General features: G+C 46.9%; 1 protein-coding gene and 1 pseudogene across 2 annotated transcripts, besides 1 other annotated feature; both read left to right on the forward strand.

The window, feature by feature from the left end:
• RANP1 (RAN pseudogene 1) lies at window positions 442–1533 on the forward strand (annotated as a pseudogene).
• Window positions 4066–8751, forward strand: HLA-E (major histocompatibility complex, class I, E). Of its 2 annotated transcripts, NM_005516.6 has the most exons (8): window positions 4066–4152; window positions 4283–4552; window positions 4797–5072; window positions 5694–5969; window positions 6094–6210; window positions 6961–6993; window positions 7098–7140; window positions 7306–8751. In NM_005516.6, the coding sequence occupies exons 1-7, from the start codon at window positions 4089–4091 to the stop codon at window positions 7136–7138; spliced, it is 1077 nt and encodes a 358-aa protein (NP_005507.3). In that variant the 5' UTR covers window positions 4066–4088; the 3' UTR covers window positions 7139–7140; window positions 7306–8751. The 2 variants fall into 2 exon arrangements, with proteins under 2 accessions (NP_005507.3, XP_016866296.1); XM_017010807.2 differs by having other exon boundaries at window positions 4066–4552.
• Window positions 4359–4907: an enhancer, noted in NCBI's record as "H3K27ac-H3K4me1 hESC enhancer chr6:30457579-30458127 (GRCh37/hg19 assembly coordinates)". NCBI's record gives its function as "activates a minimal SCP1, AML or CMV promoter by ChIP-STARR-seq in naive H9 embryonic stem cells {active_cell/tissue: H9 hESC(naive)}" and the evidence as "EXISTENCE:reporter gene assay evidence [ECO:0000049][PMID:30033119]".
• Window positions 8752–21578: the final 12827 nt, after the last annotated feature.

The raw sequence follows: 21578 nt of genomic DNA on the forward strand, positions 1-21578 counted from the left end.
AAGACTACACATTGTGTACAGTGTACACTAATCAGGTGCTGGATGCGCCAAAATCTTGGAAATCACCACTAAAGAACTTATCCATGTAAACAAACACCACCTGTTCCCCCAAAACTATTGAAATTTAAAAATGTTTTAAATAAATAAAATTTAAAAGGATTAAAAATGGATTATTTGCTTTCAAAAAAAAAGAAATCACCACTTGCACAGTTTTTATGTAATGTGAAATATGAATATCCACAATTACATGAAAAGCTGTTAAAAATAATCCTCCCAGTCCGGGCATGGTAGCTCACACATGTTGTTCCAGCTACTGGGAAGGCTGAGGTGAGAGAATCCCTTGAGCCCAGGAGTTCTAGGCTGCAGTGAGCTATTATGGTGCCACTGCACTCCAGCCTGGGTGACAGAGCGAGACCCTGTCTCTAAACAACAGCAATAATAATCCTTCCTTCCTGAGTCAGACGGGCATGGAGACGCTTCTGGAAGGAACACCGCAATGGCTGCGCAGGGACAGCCCCAGGTCCAGTTCAAACTTGTATTGGTTGGTGATGGTGGTACTGGAAAAACGACTTTCGTGAAACATCATTTGACTGGTGAATTTGAGAAGAAGTATGTAGCCACCTTGGGTGTTGAGGTTCATCCCCTAGTGTTCCATACCAACAGAGGACCTGTTAAGTTCAATGTATGGGACACAGCCGGCCTGGAGAAATTCAGTGGACTGAGAGATGGCTATTATATCCAAGCCCAGAGTACCATCATAGTGTTTGATGTAACATCGAGAGTTACTTACAAGAATGTGCCTAACTGGCATAGAGATCTGGTATGAGTGTGTGAAAACACCCCCACTGTGTTGAGTGGCAACAAAGTGGATATTAAGGACAGGAAAGTGAAGGCGAAATCCATTGTCTTCCACCGAAAGAAGAATCTTCAGTACTACGACATTTCTGCCAAAAGTAACTATAACTTTGAAAAGCCCTTCCTCTGGCTTGCTAGGAAGCTCATTGGAGACCCTAACTTGGAATTTGTTGCCATGCCTGCTCTCGCCCCACCAGAAGTTGTCATGGACCCAGCTTTGGCAGCACAGTATGAGCACGACTTAGAGGTTGCTCAGACAACTGCTCTCCCGGACGAGGATGATGACCTGTGAGAATGAAGCTGGAGCCCAGCGTCAGAAGTCTAGTTTTATAGGCAGCTGTCCTGTGATGTCAGTTGTGCAGCGTGTGTGCCACCTCATTATTATCTAGCTAAGCGGAACATGTGCTTCATCTGTGGGATGCTGAAGGAGATGAGTGGGCTTCGCAGTGAATGTGGCAGTTCAAAAAATACCTTCATTGTTTGGACCTGCATATTTAGCTGTTTTGGAACACAGTTGATTCCTTGAGTTTCAAATATAGACTGCTACAGTCACATCACAATATTCAGCGGTGAAATCTTGTTTGTTACTGTCATTCCCATTCCTTTTCGTTTAGAATCAGAATAAAGTTGTATTTCAAATATCTAAAAACAAAAAATCCTTCCTTTTTCAACTCAATATTTGTGTAAGGCTAGATTTTTTAACATATACACTTCAATCAAAGTAAGAAAATGGCTGGGATGCAGCTGGAGGCCATAATCCTAAGTGAATTAATGCAGGAACAGAAAACCAAATACTGCATCTTCTCACTTATAATTGGGAGCTAAACACTGAGCACACATAGACATAAACATGTGTATAACAGACACTGTAGACGACTAGAGTGGAGAGGGTGGGGACGTGGGTTGAAAAACTACCTGTGGGTACTATGTTCACTACCTGAGTGACAGGATCCATACCCCAAACCTCAGCATCAGACAACATACCCATGTAACAAACCGGCACATGTAACCCCTGTATCTATTTTTTTCTGGTTTTTTTTTTTTTTTTTTTTGAGACAATTTCACTCTTGTTGCTCAGGCTGGAGCGCAATGGCGTGATCTCGGCTCATCGCAACCTCTGCCTCCCGGGTTCAAGCGATTCTCCTGCCTCAGCCTCCTGAGTAGGTGGGATTACAGGTATGCGCCACCACCTCCAGCTAATTTTGTATTTTTAGTAGACATGGGGTTTCTCCATATTGATAAGGCTGGTCTCGAACTCCCGACTGGGATTACAGGCGTGAGCCACCGCGCCTGGCCACCCCCTGTATCTAAAATAAAAGTTAAAAATTTAAAAATAAGTACATAAGAGAATGTATGCTATGAGCCAAGAATGATGCTTGCAAAATTTTGCAAGAACAACACTTATGAAAATGAAAAATAATCACTCTTCTTGTTACCAAAAATCTTGGTAGCTGCAGAAGGTGGGATCTTTCCTCACTGGGAGTCGCAGAGCCAATACATGAAACCAAAAGTGAGCCTTAAGCAGAGCAAGCTTTATTTCCTGCACAGGACTTGTAAAGAGGAGAGCAGCTCTGCCAAGTCAACTTCTCCACTAGTGAGGCGGCTAGTGAGGGGTGAGGGGGCTAAAATGTAGGATTGCTCTAATGAAGGGGTTGGGCATTAAAAGTGAGGGGGAGGAATATTCATATGTTTTATGGGAACAGGCAGTGAACTTCTCCAAACTGGTAATACCGCTTTCCTTTTGGTCCTTTTAGGACTTCTTCTACTCATCGTCATGGAGATCGTCAACTGTCATGGCATGGATGGGAGCGCAATTTAGCCTGGAAACGGGATTACAATGAAGCGTGAGGTCTTTTTGAAGTCATTTGGCCGGCTCTCTTGGTTGTAACGAGTCTCAGCTGGTTTGACTACAAAGGCAACTTCTTGAAGCAGATCCTGTTTTTTTGTTTTTGTTTTTGTTTTTTGTTTCTTGTTTTTTCCCCCTAGACATCTCACTCTGTCGCCCAGGCTGGAGTGCAGTGGTGTGATCTCGGCTCACTGCAACCACCACCTCTCGGGTTCAAGCAATTCTCCTATCTCAGCCTCCAGAGTTGCTGGAATTACAGGCGCGCACCACCACACCCGGCTAATTTTTGTATTGTTAGTAGAGACAGGGTTTCATCATGTTGGCCAGGTTAGTCTTGAACTCCTGACCTCGTGATCTGCCTGCCTCGGCCTACCAAAATGCTGCGATTACAGGCGTGAGCCACCGTTCCCGGCCTATACGTTGTTTATTTTGGAAAAATTAAAAATTAAGTTTTTTTTCATTAAAGATATGTTATTTCCGATCAAGAGATCAAGACCATCCTGGCCAACATGGTGAAACCCCGTCTCTACTAAAAACACAAAAATTAGCTGGGTGTGGTGGCACACGCCTGTAGTTCCAGTTACTGGGGAGGCTGAGGCAGGAGAATCGCTTGAACCCGGGAGAAGGAGGTTGCAGTGAGCCGAGATCATGCCACTGCACTCCAGCCTGGGGACAGAGCAAGACTCTGACTCAAAAAAAAAAAAAAGTTGTTTCTATTAACATGTAATGGGTTATTAATATTCTCTTAAATGAATTAATATTTTTAATATTTTGTTTTAATATCTTTTAATTTATATATGATAAAAATTGATACAATCCACAGAAACAAAATTTATTTGGGTCCTCACTAATTTCTTTTTTCTTGTTGCCCAGGCTGGAGGGCAATGGCACGATCTTGGCTCACCGCAACCTCCTCCTCCTGGGTTCAAGTGATTCTCCTGCCTCAGCCTCCCAAGTAGCCAGGATTACAGCCATGCGCCACCACGCCGGCTAATTTTTTGGACTTTTAGTAGAGACAGGGTTTCTCCATATTGGTCGGGCTGGTCTCGAACTCCCAACCTCAGGTGATCAGCCCGCCTTGGCCTCCCAAAGTGCTGAGATTACAGGCGTGAGCCACCGCGCCCAGCCAGGACTAATTTCTAAGAGTGTGCAGAGATACCGAAACCTAAAAGTTTAAGAACTGCTGATTGCTGGGAAACTCTGCAGTTTCCCGTTCCTCTCGTAACCTGGTCATGTGTCCTTCTTCCTGGATACTCATGACGCAGACTCAGTTCTCATTCCCAATGGGTGTCGGGTTTCTAGAGAAGCCAATCAGCGTCGCCACGACTCCCGACTATAAAGTCCCCATCCGGACTCAAGAAGTTCTCAGGACTCAGAGGCTGGGATCATGGTAGATGGAACCCTCCTTTTACTCCTCTCGGAGGCCCTGGCCCTTACCCAGACCTGGGCGGGTGAGTGCGGGGTCGGGATGGAAACGGCCTCTACCGGGAGTAGAGAGGGGCCGGCCCGGCGGGGGCGAAGGACTCGGGGAGCCGCGCCGGGAGGAGGGTCGGGCCGATCTCAGCCCCTCCTCGCCCCCAGGCTCCCACTCCTTGAAGTATTTCCACACTTCCGTGTCCCGGCCCGGCCGCGGGGAGCCCCGCTTCATCTCTGTGGGCTACGTGGACGACACCCAGTTCGTGCGCTTCGACAACGACGCCGCGAGTCCGAGGATGGTGCCGCGGGCGCCGTGGATGGAGCAGGAGGGGTCAGAGTATTGGGACCGGGAGACACGGAGCGCCAGGGACACCGCACAGATTTTCCGAGTGAATCTGCGGACGCTGCGCGGCTACTACAATCAGAGCGAGGCCGGTGAGTGACCCCGGCCAGGGGAGCAGGTCACGACCCCTCCCCATCCCCCACGGACGGCGCGGGTCCCCTCGAATCTTCGGGTCCCAGATTCACCCCAAGGCTGCGGAACCCGCCCAGACCCTAGACCGGGGAGAGTCTCAGGCGCCTTTACCCGGTTCTTTTTCAGTTTAGGCCAAAATGCCCACAGGGTGGTGGCGACGGGGGCGGGGCTTGGTGGGCGGGACTGACTAAGGGGCGGGGCCAGGGTCTCACACCCTGCAGTGGATGCATGGCTGCGAGCTGGGGCCCGACGGGCGCTTCCTCCGCGGGTATGAACAGTTCGCCTACGACGGCAAGGATTATCTCACCCTGAATGAGGACCTGCGCTCCTGGACCGCGGTGGACACGGCGGCTCAGATCTCCGAGCAAAAGTCAAATGATGCCTCTGAGGCGGAGCACCAGAGAGCCTACCTGGAAGACACATGCGTGGAGTGGCTCCACAAATACCTGGAGAAGGGGAAGGAGACGCTGCTTCACCTGGGTAAGAGGGTCCACAGGGCTACTCTCCCATCTCCTTCTTGGGCTAGGACTGTGCCCACAGCTGACAGACCTCAAACAGTAGAAGAAACAGGGATGGAGGCCAGAATACCACTCCTCCCTTGGATCAGGAGAGGGAGCTGTCACCTGAGGTACAGGAGATCCTATACCACAGAGTGACTCTCTTAAAGGGCCAGACCTCTCTCAGGGGCAATTAAGGAATCTAGTCTCGCTGGAGATTCCATCCTTCAGATGAACTGATGAGCAGTTCTCTTTGACTCCCAGTATTAGGAATCACGGGGGAGTTTCTCTCGTGCCTGATTCTCAGCCCCACACCAAGAGTTTTTGGAGGTCTGACTCCAGCTTTTCTCAGTCACTCAGCATCCACACAGGCCAGGACCAGAAATCCCTTTTCACCTTCTACCCTGGGCTAGCTCATCCCGATTCTAGAACTTTCCAAGGAATAAGAGGCTATCCCAGATCCCTAAGTCCAGGCTGGTGTCAAGGTTTTGTCCTCTTCTCCTACTATAATTGTCCTCTTCCTTCTCAGGATGGTCACATGGGTGCTGCTGGAGTGTCCCATGAGAGATACAAAGTGCCTGAATTTTCTGACTCTTCCCCTCAGAGCCCCCAAAGACACACGTGACTCACCACCCCATCTCTGACCATGAGGCCACCCTGAGGTGCTGGGCCCTGGGCTTCTACCCTGCGGAGATCACACTGACCTGGCAGCAGGATGGGGAGGGCCATACCCAGGACACGGAGCTCGTGGAGACCAGGCCTGCAGGGGATGGAACCTTCCAGAAGTGGGCAGCTGTGGTGGTGCCTTCTGGAGAGGAGCAGAGATACACGTGCCATGTGCAGCATGAGGGGCTACCCGAGCCCGTCACCCTGAGATGGAGTAAGGAGGGGGATGGGAGGTCATGTCTCTTCTCAGGGAAAGCGGGAGCCCTTCTGGAGCCCTTCCGCAGGGTCAGGGCTGAGGCCTGGGGGTCAGGGCCCCTTACGTTCCCCTCTTTTCCCAGAGCCGGCTTCCCAGCCCACCATCCCCATCGTGGGCATCATTGCTGGCCTGGTTCTCCTTGGATCTGTGGTCTCTGGAGCTGTGGTTGCTGCTGTGATATGGAGGAAGAAGAGCTCAGGTGGGGAAGGGAGAAGGGTGGGGTCTGAGTTTTCTTGTCCCACTGGGTGTTTCAAGCCCTAGGTAAAAGTGTGTCCTGCCTCGTTACTGGGAAGCACCATCCACACACACGAGCCTACCCAGCCTGGGGCCCTGTGTGCCAGCACCTACTCTTTTTTTTTGAGACGGAGTCTTGGCTCTGTCACCCAGGCTGGAGTGCAATGGCGTGGTTTCAGCTCACTGCAACCTCCGCCTCCCAGGTTCAAGCAATTCTCCTGCCTCAGCCTCCCTAGTAGCTGGGACTACACATGCGTGCCACCACACCTGGCTAATTTTTTTTTTTGTATTTTTAGTGGAGATGGGGTTTCACTATGTTGGCCAGGCTGGTCTCGAACTCCTGACTTTGTGATCTGCCTGCCTCGGCCTCCCAAAGTGCTGGGATTACAGTCGTGAGCCACCGCACCCAGCCGCACCTACTCTTTTGTAAAGCACCTGTGACAATGAAGGACAGATTTATCACCTTGACGATTGTGGTGATGGGGACCTGATCCCAGCAGTCACAGGTCACAGGGGAAGGTCCCTGCTGAAGACAGACCTCAGAAGGGCAGTTGATCCAGGACCCACACCTGCTTTCTTCACGTTTCCTGATCCTGCCCTGGGTCTGCAGTCACAGTTCAGGAAACTTCTCTGGGATCCAAAACTAGGAGGTTCCTCTAGGACCTTATGGCCCTGCCTCCTCCCTGGCCCCTCACAGGACATTTTCTTCCAACAGGTGGAAAAGGAGGGAGCTACTCTAAGGCTGAGTGTAAGTGCGGGGCGGGAGCGTGGAGGAGCTCGCCCACCCTATAATTCCTCCTGCACCACATCTCCTGTGGGCTCTGACCAGGTCTTGTTTTTGTTCTACCCCAGGGAGCGACAGTGCCCAGGGGTCTGAGTCTCACAGCTTGTAAAGGTGAGATTCTGGGGGTCTGAAGTGGGTGGAGGGTGGGGCAGAGGGGACAGGACTGGGTTGTGGGGATTTTTTGATTCAGAATTTTTGAGTGTGTGGTGGGCTGTTCAGAGTGTCATCACTTACCGTGACTGACCTGAATTTGTTCATGACTATTTTCTTCTGTAGCCTGAGACAGCTGCCTTGTGTGCGACTGAGATGCACAGCTGCCTTGTGTGCGACTGAGATGCAGGATTTCCTCACGCCTCCCCTATGTGTCTTAGGGGACTCTGGCTTCTCTTTTTGCAAGGGCCTCTGAATCTGTCTGTGTCCCTGTTAGCACAATGTGAGGAGGTAGAGAAACAGTCCACCTCTGTGTCTACCATGACCCCCTTCCTCACACTGACCTGTGTTCCTTCCCTGTTCTCTTTTCTATTAAAAATAAGAACCTGGGCAGAGTGCGGCAGCTCATGCCTGTAATCCCAGCACTTAGGGAGGCCGAGGAGGGCAGATCACGAGGTCAGGAGATCGAAACCATCCTGGCTAACACGGTGAAACCCCGTCTCTACTAAAAAATACAAAAAATTAGCTGGGCGCAGAGGCACGGGCCTGTAGTCCCAGCTACTCAGGAGGCGGAGGCAGGAGAATGGCGTCAACCCGGGAGGCGGAGGTTGCAGTGAGCCAGGATTGTGCGACTGCACTCCAGCCTGGGTGACAGGGTGAAACGCCATCTCAAAAAATAAAAATTGAAAAATAAAAAAAGAACCTGGATCTCAATTTAATTTTTCATATTCTTGCAATGAAATGGACTTGAGGAAGCTAAGATCATAGCTAGAAATACAGATAATTCCACAGCACATCTCTAGCAAATTTAGCCTATTCCTATTCTCTAGCCTATTCCTTACCACCTGTAATCTTGACCATATACCTTGGAGTTGAATATTGTTTTCATACTGCTGTGGTTTGAATGTTCCCTCCAACACTCATGTTGAGACTTAATCCCTAATGTGGCAATACTGAAAGGTGGGGCCTTTGAGATGTGATTGGATCGTAAGGCTGTGCCTTCATTCATGGGTTAATGGATTAATGGGTTATCACAGGAATGGGACTGGTGGCTTTATAAGAAGAGGAAAAGAGAACTGAGCTAGCATGCCCAGCCCACAGAGAGCCTCCACTAGAGTGATGCTAAGTGGAAATGTGAGGTGCAGCTGCCACAGAGGGCCCCCACCAGGGAAATGTCTAGTGTCTAGTGGATCCAGGCCACAGGAGAGAGTGCCTTGTGGAGCGCTGGGAGCAGGACCTGACCACCACCAGGACCCCAGAACTGTGGAGTCAGTGGCAGCATGCAGCGCCCCCTTGGGAAAGCTTTAGGCACCAGCCTGCAACCCATTCGAGCAGCCACGTAGGCTGCACCCAGCAAAGCCACAGGCACGGGGCTACCTGAGGCCTTGGGGGCCCAATCCCTGCTCCAGTGTGTCCGTGAGGCAGCACACGAAGTCAAAAGAGATTATTCTCTTCCCACAGATACCTTTTCTCTCCCATGACCCTTTAACAGCATCTGCTTCATTCCCCTCACCTTCCCAGGCTGATCTGAGGTAAACTTTGAAGTAAAATAAAAGCTGTGTTTGAGCATCATTTGTATTTCATTTGTGCGTTTTGTGCCTTGTTGTTTTAATTTTTTAACCACATTCAAGCTATCCTTTGGCTTCCAATGCCATGGTCCACCCAGAACTGCATTCACTGGCCCATGTTCTAGTTCTGGTCATGCCGACTTTCCCGTTTTCCTGGTGAATCCCTGTAATCACCTGAGTCTCATTCTGTCAGGTGATATCCAGTAAGAAGGCAACATGTGCGGTGAGAAAGCCCAGGGAGTCCTGGGTGTGAATTTTTACTTTGCCATTTCTTCCTGTGTGACACGCGGTGGGGCTTCACCTGTCTGAGCTCCAGTTCCTCATCTTGTACGTGGCACTGTTTTCTTGGGAGAGTCATTATAAAGCTAATATAAAGTACCTGTACTGTGGTTTGAATGTGTCCTCCAAAAAGCATGTGTTGGAAACTGAATCCACAATGCAACCATATCGGGAAGTGAATCCTAATGGCTGGCTGGCCATGGAGGTTCCAACTTTATGAATGGATTAATACTGATTATAAAAGGGCTTGAGGTTGAGGCAAGTTCAACCTCTTGCCCTCACTCACCCACTTGCCTTTACCAAGAGATGATACAGCAAAAAGACTCACCAAATGCCGGGATCTTGATATTAGACTTCTTATCCTCCAGAACCATGAAATAGGCTGCTTTGCTTTATAAATTACTCAGTCTGCGTATTATATTACAGCAACACAAGATGGGCAACCTGATACTTAGGTTTCAGTTAGTGGTAGATATTTTTATTTCAAGCATTCCTACTGGAGTATTAGTTTCTTCATAAGCCCAGAATCTTTGCATTTTAGCAACAACAAATAAGTCTTTTTTTTTTTTTTTTTTGAGACTGAGTTTCACTCTTGTCACCCAGGCTAGAGTGCAATGGCATGACCTTGGCTCACTGCAAACTTGGCCTCCCAGGTTTAAGTGATTCTCCTGCTTCAGCCTCCCAAGTAGCTGGGATTACAGGCGCCTGCTACCACGCCCAGCTAATTTTTGTATTTTTAGTAGAGACAGAGTTTCATCATGTTGGCCAGCTGGTCTCGAACTCCTGATCTCAGGTGATCCACCCACCTTGGCCTCCCAAAGTGCTGGGATTATAGGCATGAGCCACCACGTTCCACCAGAAGTCTTAATTAATGCAAAGAAAATCAATCTATAGATTTGATGGAAATTTGGACTCCTATATCCTACTTTTTATCCCACTCCTATATACTACTCATAAGGAGTATAGAACTATTTTCCTTCTCTACTTGGTCTGCCCATTTCTACTTCCTGCCATATCGGCAGGCTATGTTTGCCTCACCTCAAAGATCTGCCTTCCTCAGTTTTAGATCTTAAATCTTTTTAAGCCAGACTCCAAGGGATCTTTAACAAATATTTATCGAACCCTTCCTGTGTTCAAAGAATGTTGTGAGGTCCAGGGTGGGACTAGGGGGCGAGAAAGGTTCCTGCGCTGAAGGAATCTAAGATTTAGTAACAATGAATAAACAGACTTGAAGATAACTATTGTGGTTAGCGCTGAAAGAAACGTACAAAATGCCAAAAGTCAAGGAGGAAACTATGTTTTCTAGGACAGTGGTTCCCAACATTTTTGGCATCAGGGACCGGTTTCATGGAAGACAATTTTTCGGAGGGGTGGTTTTGGGATGATTCAAGCGCGTTACCTGTATTGTGGACTTTATTTCTATTATTACATTATAATACATAATGAAATAATTATACAACTCACCATAATGTAGAGTCAGTAGGAGCCCTGAGCTTGTTTTCCTGCAACTAGACAGTCCCATCTGAGGGTGATGGGAGACACTGACAGGTCATCAGGCATTAGATTCTCATAGGAGCGAGCAACCTAGATCCCTCGCATGCACAGTTCACAATAAGATTCACACTCCTATGAGAATCTAACCCCACTGCTGATCTGACAGGAGGCAGAGCTCAGGCGCTAATGCTTGGTCACCTGCCACTCACCTCCTACTGTGCAGCCCAGTTCCTAACAGGCCATGGACCGGTACCAGTCCATGGCCCAGGGCTTGGGAACCCCTGTTTTAGGAGACTTAGGTTTTTCTAAAGGAAAAAATGTTTGAGTTATGCTTTGAAAAATGTAAGACACCACTGTAGATGTTTTAATCAGGGAATTGGGTTATTACCAAAAAAAAAATGTTGGAAGATGAAAGAGCAGGTTCTTTATGCCTCCTGGCTTGACCCTGGAACAATTTAGAACCAGCCCAGTGAGGCATGTACTCCCCATGAGGCCACACAAGAGCTGTGCTTTCTTAGATCTGGATCCCACTACCACATAGGGGTTCCTGGGCACCTGGACACCAGGGAAGAGGGGTCAACCAGGTCCCACTCCTCTGGCATGACACTCAGTGATTCAGTCAAGATACTGTTGGGAAAACAGCCCATGCCATGGGACTTCCCCATGGTCGGAAAAGTCTTGAATAGCTAAAAGCAAAACAGGATAGTTAGGCTGCATTATGTAGATAATGGTGACTCATGGGCAGGCCCTGCCTCCTTGGGCCATTGTATGTGAACAGATCTTTGTGTGATTATGGGATAATTCTGGGTTCTTTTCTCCATGTGCCTGTTCTTAATTGGCCCAGGAGAGGGAACCCAAGGGAAGGAGGAACCCGAGTGATCTTGTCCTCTTTTGACATCTCATTTCTAGCCACAAGGTTATGAATCATAGATCTCCAGAAGTCAGTGGTCCTAGAGGAAAAAAGCATCTGCCATAGCAGCAGAATGACAGGGAGACAGCTATTCCTATTACTAGAGTTTTAACAGCCCCTCTCAGCCAGCTAGCCCAGACTAGGATCTTAACGGGGGCTGGGACTTACTTCCATATATTGTAAATGATGTAACCTTGTCTTCATGATGACCTTAAATATATCTTGATGAACAGTATAAGAAAGCAAATGAAGCCTGGGCGCGGTGGCTCACGCCTGTAATCCCAGCACTTTGGGAGGCTGAGGCGGGTTGATCACCTGAGGTTGGGAGTTCAAGACCAGCCTGACCAACACGGAGAAACCCTGTCTCTACTAAAAATAAAAAATTAGCTGGGCGTGGTGGCGCATGCCTGTAATCCTAGCTACTCAGGAGGCTGAGGCAGGAGAATCGCTTGAACCCAGGAGGCTGAGGTTGTGCAGTGAGCCAAGATCACACCATTGCACTCCAGCCTGAGCAAGAAGAGTGAAACTGCGCTTCGAAAAGAAAGAAAGAGAGAGAGGGAGGGAGGGAGGAAGGAAGGAAGGAGAGAGAAAGAAAGAAAGAGAGAGAGAAAGAAAGAAAGGAAAGAAGGAAAGAAGGAAAGAAAGGAAGAAAGGAAGAAAGAAAGAAAGGCAAATGATCACTTAGAGGATTTTGTTTGGTAGTTAAAACCATTTTGAAACAGAGGGAGGGAAGAAATCACCTATGCTTCCTCAGTGGTAAAGAGACTGGGAACCACCACGCCAGAGTTAGAAAATATGAGGCAACAGAAGGGCTGTTATATGTAGTGAAAATTTCCAAACCCGGTCCCCTGGAGGGAATACTTGGTGACTGGGCCTTAGAGGAAAGAGATGCTTGTCCAGCCCATTGCCTGTGTGTCCAGGAGAGACTGTGCCCACCTTGAGAGACTGAGAGAAGACCCTAGTGAGGAGAAGCCCCCAGGCCAGCCGTCAGCACAGGGCATTGGAGGTCCCCAACCAGCTCCAAGTCCTGAACAGAGCACAGCCTCCAGAGGTTTGTACTGTTCATACCCAGCAGAGGCTGTGTGCCAGCCCTCCCCATGCAAATCAGCGTCCCTGCAGGGTATGTAAAGGACCTCTACCTATGCTTTCTATGGGGGAACAAATATCCCATGGGACACTGAAAGACTATGGAACATTGTAGAACATGTATTTACCAAACTGTGTCCAACTCAGAGCCTAAATTGTTTATTGGTGCTGTTTCAACCAGTACACGTGATTCTTTTTTTTTTTTTTTTTTTTAGTATTTATTGATCATTCTTGAGTGTTTATCGGAGAGGGGGATTTAGCAGGGTCATAGGACAATAGTGGAGGGAAGGTCAGCAGATAAACATGTGAACAAAGGTCTCTGGTTTTCCTAGGCAGAGGACCCTGCGGCCTTCTGCAGTGTTTGTGTCCCTGGGTACTTGAGATTAGGGAGCGGTGATGACTCTTAATGAGGATGCTGCCTTCAAGCATCTGTTTAACAAAGCACATCTTGCACCGCCCTTAATCCATTTAACCCTGAGTGGACACAGCACATGTTTCAGAGAGCACGGGGTTGGGGGTAAGGCTATAGATCAACAGCATCCCAAGGCAGAAGAACCTCTCCCAGTACAGAACAAAATGGAGTCTCCCATGTCCACCTCTTTCCACACAGACACAGTAACAATCTGATCTCTCTTTCTTTTCCCCACATTTCCCCCTTTTCTATTCGACAAAACCGCCATCGTCATCATGGCCCGTTCTCAATGAGCTGTTGGGTACACCTCCCAGACGGGGTGACGGCCGGGCAGAGGGGCTCCTCACTTCCCAGACGGGCCGGGCAGAGGCGCCCCCCACCTCCCGAACGGGGCGGCTGGCAGGGCGGGGGCTGCCCCCCACCTCCTGGACGGGGCGGCTGCCGGGCGGAGACGCTCCTCACTTCCCAGACGGGGCGGCTGCCGGGCGGAGGGGCTCCTCACTTCTCAGACAGGGCGGCCCGGCAGAGACGCCCCTCACCTCCCAGACGGGGTGGCGGTCGGGCAGAGACACTCCTCAGTTCCCAGACGGGGTCGCCGCCGGACAGAGGCGCTCCGCACATCCCAGACGGGGCGGCGGGGCAGAGGCGCTCCCCACATCTCAGACGATGGGCGGCCGGGCAGATACGCTCCTCACTTCCTAGATGGGGTGGTGGCCGGGCAGAGGCTGCAGTCTCGGCACTTTGGGAGGCCAAGGCAGGCGGCTGGGAGGTGGAGGCTGTAGCGAGCCGAGATCACGCCACTGCACTCCAGCCTGGGCAAGATTGAGCACTGAGTGAGCGAGACTCCGTCTGCAATCCCGGCACCTCGGGAGGCCGAGGTGGGCAGATCACTCGCGGTCAGGAGCTGGAGACCAGCCCGGCCAACACGGGGAAACCCCATCTCCACCAAAAAATACAAAAACAAAAAAAACCAAAAAAAAAACCAAGTGATTCTTTCTGCAGAGGACATCTTGGCTCTTGGCACTCCACCACAGACTTGGTATGAGATCCTGGCTGAGCACTTTTTTTTTTTTTTTTTTTTTTTTTTTTTTTTTTGAGACAGAGTTTCGCTCTTGTTTCCCAGGCTGGAGTGCAGTGGCATGATCTTGGCTCACTGCAACCTCCGCCTCCTGGATTCAAGCGATTCTCCTGCCTCAGCCTACGGAGTAGCTGGGATTACAGGCATGTGCCATCACGCCCCGGCTGATTTTGTACCTTTAGTAAAGACGGGGTTTCTCCATGTTGGTCAGGCTGGTCTCGAACTCCCGACCTCAGGTGATCCACACACCTTGGCCTCCCAAAGTGCTGGGATTACAGGCGTGAGCCAACGCACCCAGCCTGGCTGAGCACTTTCAAGTCTCATTCCTAACATCTGTCAGTTAAGCTGGGATAACAATTATCTGACTGACTGCACGGAATTCTGAATGAATTGAATTGGATAATACATGTAAATCCTTGTGGTGGGAATTTGGGTGCCATTTTCTTTGCATTATGAAAATCCAGGTCAACTCTTCTTTCTTCTCCCAATTGTTTTTATTGCACATCTATAAAAACAAGAAAAGAATTTTCTTGCTTTTCTTTTTTTTGAGACACAGTCTCGCACTGTCGCCCAGGCTGGAGTGCAATGGCACAACCTCTGCTCACTGCAAACTCTGCCTCCTGGGTTCATGCCATTCTCCTGCCTCAGCCTCCTGAGTAGCTGGGATTACAGGTGCATGCCACCACGCCCAGAAAATTTTTTGTATTTTTAGTAGAGACGAGGTTTCACCGTGTTAGCCAGGATGGTCTCAATCTCCTGTCCTCATGATCTGCCCACCTCCGGCTCCCAAAGTGCTGGGATTACAGTCATGAGCCACCGCGCCTGGCCAAGAATTTTCTAATAAACAAGAAAAACCTCACCTGTAATCCCACTACTTGGTACAATAATCATACTTATTTTTCTTTATTTCCTTCCAGTGTGAGCAAGGACAATTTAGCTTTGGGAACCCACAAAGAAACCATTTCAATTAAAAGCACAGGAAGCCCCACCAGTCCCATGAGGTTTTTGCCACCCCTAAGTAGTTCCATATGAGAAATTAAGAGTAGCGATGCTTGCTTTGAGGAATTGGAGGGAAAACTAAAATGAAAGTTGAATTTGGATAAGAGAAAAATCAAGGGCACTCACTCTTCCCAACCCCAGCCTGTCTGACTCTCTCCCCATCATCCTCCTCACTACTTTCAGGCAGGGTGGAGATAGCACCAGGGGGAGATTCTGGGAGACAGGGCACTACTGCAAGAACAGCAGGACAGCCCCACTGGTGGCTGTGGGATGCTCCGTGGCCCTGCCTACTGCTGTTCTGGAGGATGCACCGCCTCGCTTTCCTTTCTGGTGTTAGAGCCAGGTGACTCTGTCCAAAGAGTAGGTTCTTTTTCCCCACAGAGGCAAACAGGAAACGTTTCCTTTCCTAACTAGCTCTGCCTAGTGCCTGGAATCTTACTGAGTCAGTCCCGCAGTAAGTCAGCAGCTCAGGAAATCTACCCTCTCTGAGCCTCCCTGCAGTTCAAGCTGCTTAGGGAACTTGATATTTTCAAGACATCTGTCTACACATGGGCAGCCCAGCCGCCGAGTTAGTGGTGGCAACCAAAGCGAACAGAGGACTTGGCTTCCTGAAAACAGAGGCAAAGAAGTATAGCTATCCAACCTTCTGAGTCTTGTCTCTATATGGAGATGCCCATATGGACAAATAGGGTCTGGACAAGGGGAAGGGTTAACATGAGAAAGTCACATGATTTCTGCTATGCTATTCCTCTGTGCGCTTACCCTTTCTGTTTCTAAATATTTCAGCTAAAAGACAATAAATACTGCAACCCTTACATTCCTTCAGCCCTGCTTTCACTTGTCCTGGGTGTCCTGACTGTCATCTTCATTCATTTATATCAAACACCATTCAATCAATACTTACTACAAGCAAACTATATGTGAGATCAAGAGTACTATTCAAAATAGTTGACAGCTGGTATGGCAATGGAAATTAATATATAAATAAAATTTTCCCAATTATGCTATTTTTCTGTCCTAACTAAATGATTATAAAACTACTTACCAAGTGACACAGTTGAAATATAAATAATTTCTTAAATAGTTATAACAATTTCCAAATTATTTATTGATTTTTAAACATTTTTTGCATTTCTTAGGTGGTAATTATTGGTTAAGTGATATATGCCTATGTTAGCCATGATTTGACAAAAGAGCCTTGTATAAGCTTCTGATAATTTCCCCATTAAATTGTTTGTATATTATGACGTATGTAATCAACTATATTGTTCATGGTGCCAAATCCTCTCTCACTTTAGCAGCTATGTTAAAGATTTTTTAGCCCTTGAACTGCTGTCTGAAATTCTTTTTCTTTCTTTTTTTTTTTTCTTTTTTTGAGACAGTCTCACTCTGTCGCCCAGGCTGGAGTGCAGTGGTGCGATCTTGGCTCACTGCAACCTCCACCTCCCCGGTTCAAGCAATTCTCCTGTCTCAGCCTCCCGAGTAGCTGGGATTGCAGGCACATGCCACCACGCCCAGCTACTTTTTGTATTTTTAGTAAAGAGGGGGTTTCACCACGTAGGCCAAGCTGGTCTCAAACTCCTGACCTCAAATGATCCACCTGCCTCGGCCTCCCAAAGTGCTGGGATTACAGGCATGAGCCACCACGCCTGGCCTAGAAATTCTTTTTTTTTTTTTTGAGACGGAGTCTCCTGTCGCCCAGGCTGGAGTGCGGTGGCGCGATCTCAGCTCACTGCAAGCTCCTCCTCCCGGGTTCACGCCATTCTCCTGCCTCAGCCTCCTGAGTAGCTGGGACTACAGGCGCCTGCCACCATGCCTGGCTCATTTTTTGTATTTTTAGTAGAGACGGGGTTTCACCATGTTAGCCAGGATGGTCTCGATCTCCTAACCTTGTGATCTGCCCGCCTCGGCCTCCCAAAGTGCTGGGATTACAGGCATGAGCCACCGCGCCCGGCCTAGAAATTCTTATTATTTAATATCTCCGTTCACTCCACCACAAAAATCAATTAATAAAAGCCATCTTTAATAAGTAGGCTTAATTGTATTGATTAAATTAAAAATTGTCTTGATTTAATTGGTTACATCTATGAAGCTTTGTAAACATCCTTCATGGTTGACTTAATTTAAAAATTTTAAGTTCTTAATATATTTTACTTTTGTCATCAAACTACAATTGCAATCACATAAATTATTAGATAATCTAATTGACTTTTTCTCTTGAAGTTGACATTTTTCTTTCAAATGGTATATCATATTTTTAAACAATACTATCTACTTTTTCCCCTTTGCTTTATGTATTTAATTTTATATATTAACTGATTCTTATTTTTCTACAATTAATCCAGCTTCTGTAATTTTTAATATTTCCTCTGGAAAGGATAAAGATAACATTGACATCTCTGTTAATATATAAGTTATTAACGTCAAATTTCTGGGAAAAAAAGTTTATGTCCTAAACACTTACTACTCCCATTTCACAACTTCTATTAAAGTGAATATAAAAGGTTTGGTACAATTCCCTAATGCTCTTGGCATCCCACTATTACAGAGTGCCCAAATATGCTTTCTAGTTTCATGACTTCAATTCCAGTATCTTTAGAAATATTTTTAATTTTCCCAAATGCTTATTTCATATGTAGTTGTGAATATAAAGTTTAGTGAGGCAAATATTTGAAGTAATTTTTCATTTAAACATTTTACTGCATCATCCTGACATCACTGAATACAGTAACTTATATAGTACCAATTTAAAATATAAAGAGACTTTTTTTTTTTTTTTTTTTGAGACAGATTGTCGCTCTGTCACCAGGCTGGAGTGCAGTGGCATAATCTCTGCTCACTGCAAACTCTGCCTCCCAGGTTCAAGCGATTCTCCTGCCTCAGCCTCCCAAGCAGCTAGGACTATAGGTGCATGCCACCACGCCCAGCTAATTTTTGTATTTTTTTGTAGAGACAGGGTTTCACCATGTTGGCCAGGATGGTCTCAATCTCTTGACCTCGTGATCTGCCTGCCTTGGCCTCCCAAAGTGCTGGGATTACAGGCATGAGCCATTGTGCCTGGCCATATAGAGACTTCTCTAAAACTTTGGCTTCTCTGAACTTTCTCTGTGACATATACTAGAACCATCTGTAGCATTGTGTAACCATTTCACATCAAAACCACTTTTCTTGAGCACTGATGAGTAAGTAAGCTTGATACATCATTTCAGTTCCTCAGATGAGCAAAAATCATTAGTTTTATATCATCAGTTTTATAAGTCTGAAATTTAGTATTTAAGTCACTAATAAAAACACATTTTTGTGGCCGGGCGTGGTGGCTCACACCTGTAATCCCAGCACTTTGAGAGGCCAAGGTGTGCGGATCACGAGGTCAGGAGATCAAGACCATCCTGGCTAACACAGTGAAACCCCGTCTCTACTAAAAATACAAAAAATTAGCCGGGCATGGTGGCAGGCGCCTGTAGTCCCAGCTGCTCGGGAGGCTGAGGCAGGAGAATGGTGTGAACCTGGGAGGTGGAGCTTGCAGTGAACCGAGATCGCGCCACTGCACTCCAGCCTAGGTGACAGAGTGAGACTCCGTCTCAAAAAAAAAAAATTTTTTTTTGTTACATAATTGAAGCTTTCTTGGTGATGATTGATTGCCTAGATTTATAAATTTACTAAAAAGTTGTCTCATCATGGTAGATATACGTTTTGTGACCATTGTAACCATTAATGTAGACTGCAATGATATGCACTATTTACAACCTTTTTTAAGACTCTATTTAGCAGTAGACTAATTACACAGTAGGTAATATTAGCATTCTAATGGTACTTTTTCAATGTTTTGTTCTTTTTATGATACAAAGTATTTCAGGGGATTTATTATTTCAAAGACTTCATTATGTGAAGCTCATTCATAATATTCTTCAAATTCTTCTTATTACTAGTTTTTCCCTGAATTCTGAGCACCGACAATATGCTAGAACATTCACCTTTTCACACATCCACAAGATGTGTGCTTTGCATATCGTTTTCATTTAATATTTACATTTCAAGCAATAATCAGCTACCTGTGAGTTTTGTCAAAATTATCAGGGGTTTTTTGTTTGTTTGTTTTTTGACATGGAGTTTTGCTCTTGTTGCCCAGGCTGGAGTGCAATGGCGCCATCTCAGCTCACTGCAACCTCCACCTCCTGGGTTCAAATGATTATCCTGCCTCAGCCTCCCCAGTAGCTAGGATTACAGGCATGCACCACCACACCTGGCTAATTTTATATTTTTAGTAGAGACAGGGTTTCTCCATGTTGGTCAGGCTGGTCTCGAACTCCCAACCTCAGGTGATTCACTCACCTTGAGCTCCCAAAGTGCTGGGATTACAGGCATGAGCCAATACACCTGGCCAATTATCAGGTTTTTAATTAAATTTTAGAAATGTGAATTATTGTTTCCTTTGAACTGAATCTTATGCAATACTGAAAGCATTCCCACCTGCCATAATCTTTGCATATCAGTTGTTCCAGGCTGTGATTCAATATTAATACCATTGGTTTCATGATTTGTCTCAGATTCAGAAGAGTCATGTTTACAGTATCTAAAAGCAATGTTTAAAATGTATGTAGGCCTGGCACTGTGGCTTATGCCTGTAATCCCAGCACTTTGGGAGGCTGAAGCTGATGGATCACCTGAGGTCAGGAGTTTGAAACCAGCTTGGCCAACATGACGAAACCCCATCTCTACTAAAAATACAAAAATCGGCTGGGCGCGGTGGCTCATGCCTGTAATCCCAGCACTTTGGGAGGCCAAGGCAGGTGGCTCACCTGAAGTCAGGAGTTCAAGACCAGCCTGACCAACATCGTGAAACTCCGTCTCCACTAAAATACAAAAAATTAGCCAGGCATGGTGGTACATGCCTGTAGTCCCAGCTACTTGGGAGGCTGAGGCAGGAGAATTGCTTGAACCCGGGAGGCAGAGGTTGCAGTGAGCTGAGATTTCGCCATTGCACTCCAGCCTGGGCAACAAAAGTGAAACTCTGTCTCAAAAAAAAAAAAAAAAAAAAAACCCTTCTGTCTCAAAAAAAAAAAAAAAAACCCTTCTGTCTCAAAAAAAATAAAATAAAACAAAAATATAAAAATTTGGTGGGTGTGGTGGCACACACCTGTAGTCCCAGCTACTCAGGAGACTGAGGCAGGAAGATCGCTTGAACCTGGGAGACAGAAGTTGCAGTGAGCCGAGATCACACCACTGCACTCCAGCCTGGGCAACAGAGTAAGACTCTTATCTCAGAAAATAAGTAAATAGATAAATAAATAAAATGTATTTAAACTTTGTCACTTCACTCTTACTGTTTACTATTCTAAGTTCTTGAATTTATAGATATCAAAACACTGCACAGTTATTATTTCCAGATGAATAATAACACAATAACAATAGAAACAAGGAAAAGCCAAACAAATATACTATTTATAAGTTACAGCATGTGAGGATAACAATTAACTGATGATTTTCCTAAACCACAAAACAATGAATGTACAATGGTGACATGGCTGAACCAGCCGGTGGTGCCATAAATGATTCTCAGATGCTGCAGTGCAGGAGACCCATCCATTGATGATCACTGTGATAGACTAAGACAAATAGTTAATTAGTTAATGAGATATTAGAATTTCTAGTACTTATTAATTTTACCACCTATCACGATAACCATTCTATTTTCTGTAACAATCAGTATTGGCTGTACTAGTGCACACTGGCTGGATGCCAGTGTGTAAGACAATGCCATAAAGGGCTATATGAGCATTAGCTACTATGCTATGACTTTTAACATTGAGTTGATTAGGTTCAAGGGTCAGGTGGGGCACTTTTAGAAATTACAGTAACAGAGGCCCTCAGGAGGTAGGATTCCCTTTTCTTTTTGGAGACAGAGTCTTACGCTGTCACCCAGGCTGGAGTGCAATGGCGGGATATCGGCTCACTGCAACCTCCGCCTCCCAAGTTCAAGCAATCCTCCCACCTCAGCCTCTTGAGTAGCAGGGATTACAGGCATCTGCCACCACGCCTGGCTAATTTTTGTATTTTTATTTTTATTTTTGTTTTGAGATGGAGTTTCATTCTTGTTGCCCAGGCTGGAGTGCAATAGCGCAATCTTGGTTCACCGCAACCTCCACCTCCGAGGTTCAAGCAATTCCTGCCTCAGCCTCCTAGGTAGCTGGGATTACAGGGATGTGCCACCACACCTCGCTAATTTTGTATTTTTAGTAGAGACGGGTTTTCTTTTTTTCTTTTTTTTTTTGGGGGGGATGGAGTCTGGCTCTGTCGCCCAGGCTGGAGTGCAGTGGCACGATCTCGTGAGGATGGCTCACTGCAAACTCCATCACCCGGGTTCAAGGGATTCTTCTGCCTCAGCCTCCCAAGTAGCTGAGATTACAGGCGTCTGCCACTGTGCCTGGCTAATTTTTATATTTTTGATAGAGACGGGGTTTCACCATGTTGGCCAGGCTGGTCTCAAACTCCTGACCTCAGGTGATCAGCCCACCTTGGCCTCCCAAAGGGCTGGGATTACAGGCGTGAGCCACCGTGCCCGGCCAAGGCAGG

The sequence above is a fragment of the Homo sapiens genome, chromosome 6, assembly GCF_000001405.40.
Source record: "Homo sapiens chromosome 6, GRCh38.p14 Primary Assembly".
Taxonomy (NCBI): Eukaryota; Metazoa; Chordata; class Mammalia; order Primates; family Hominidae; genus Homo; species Homo sapiens.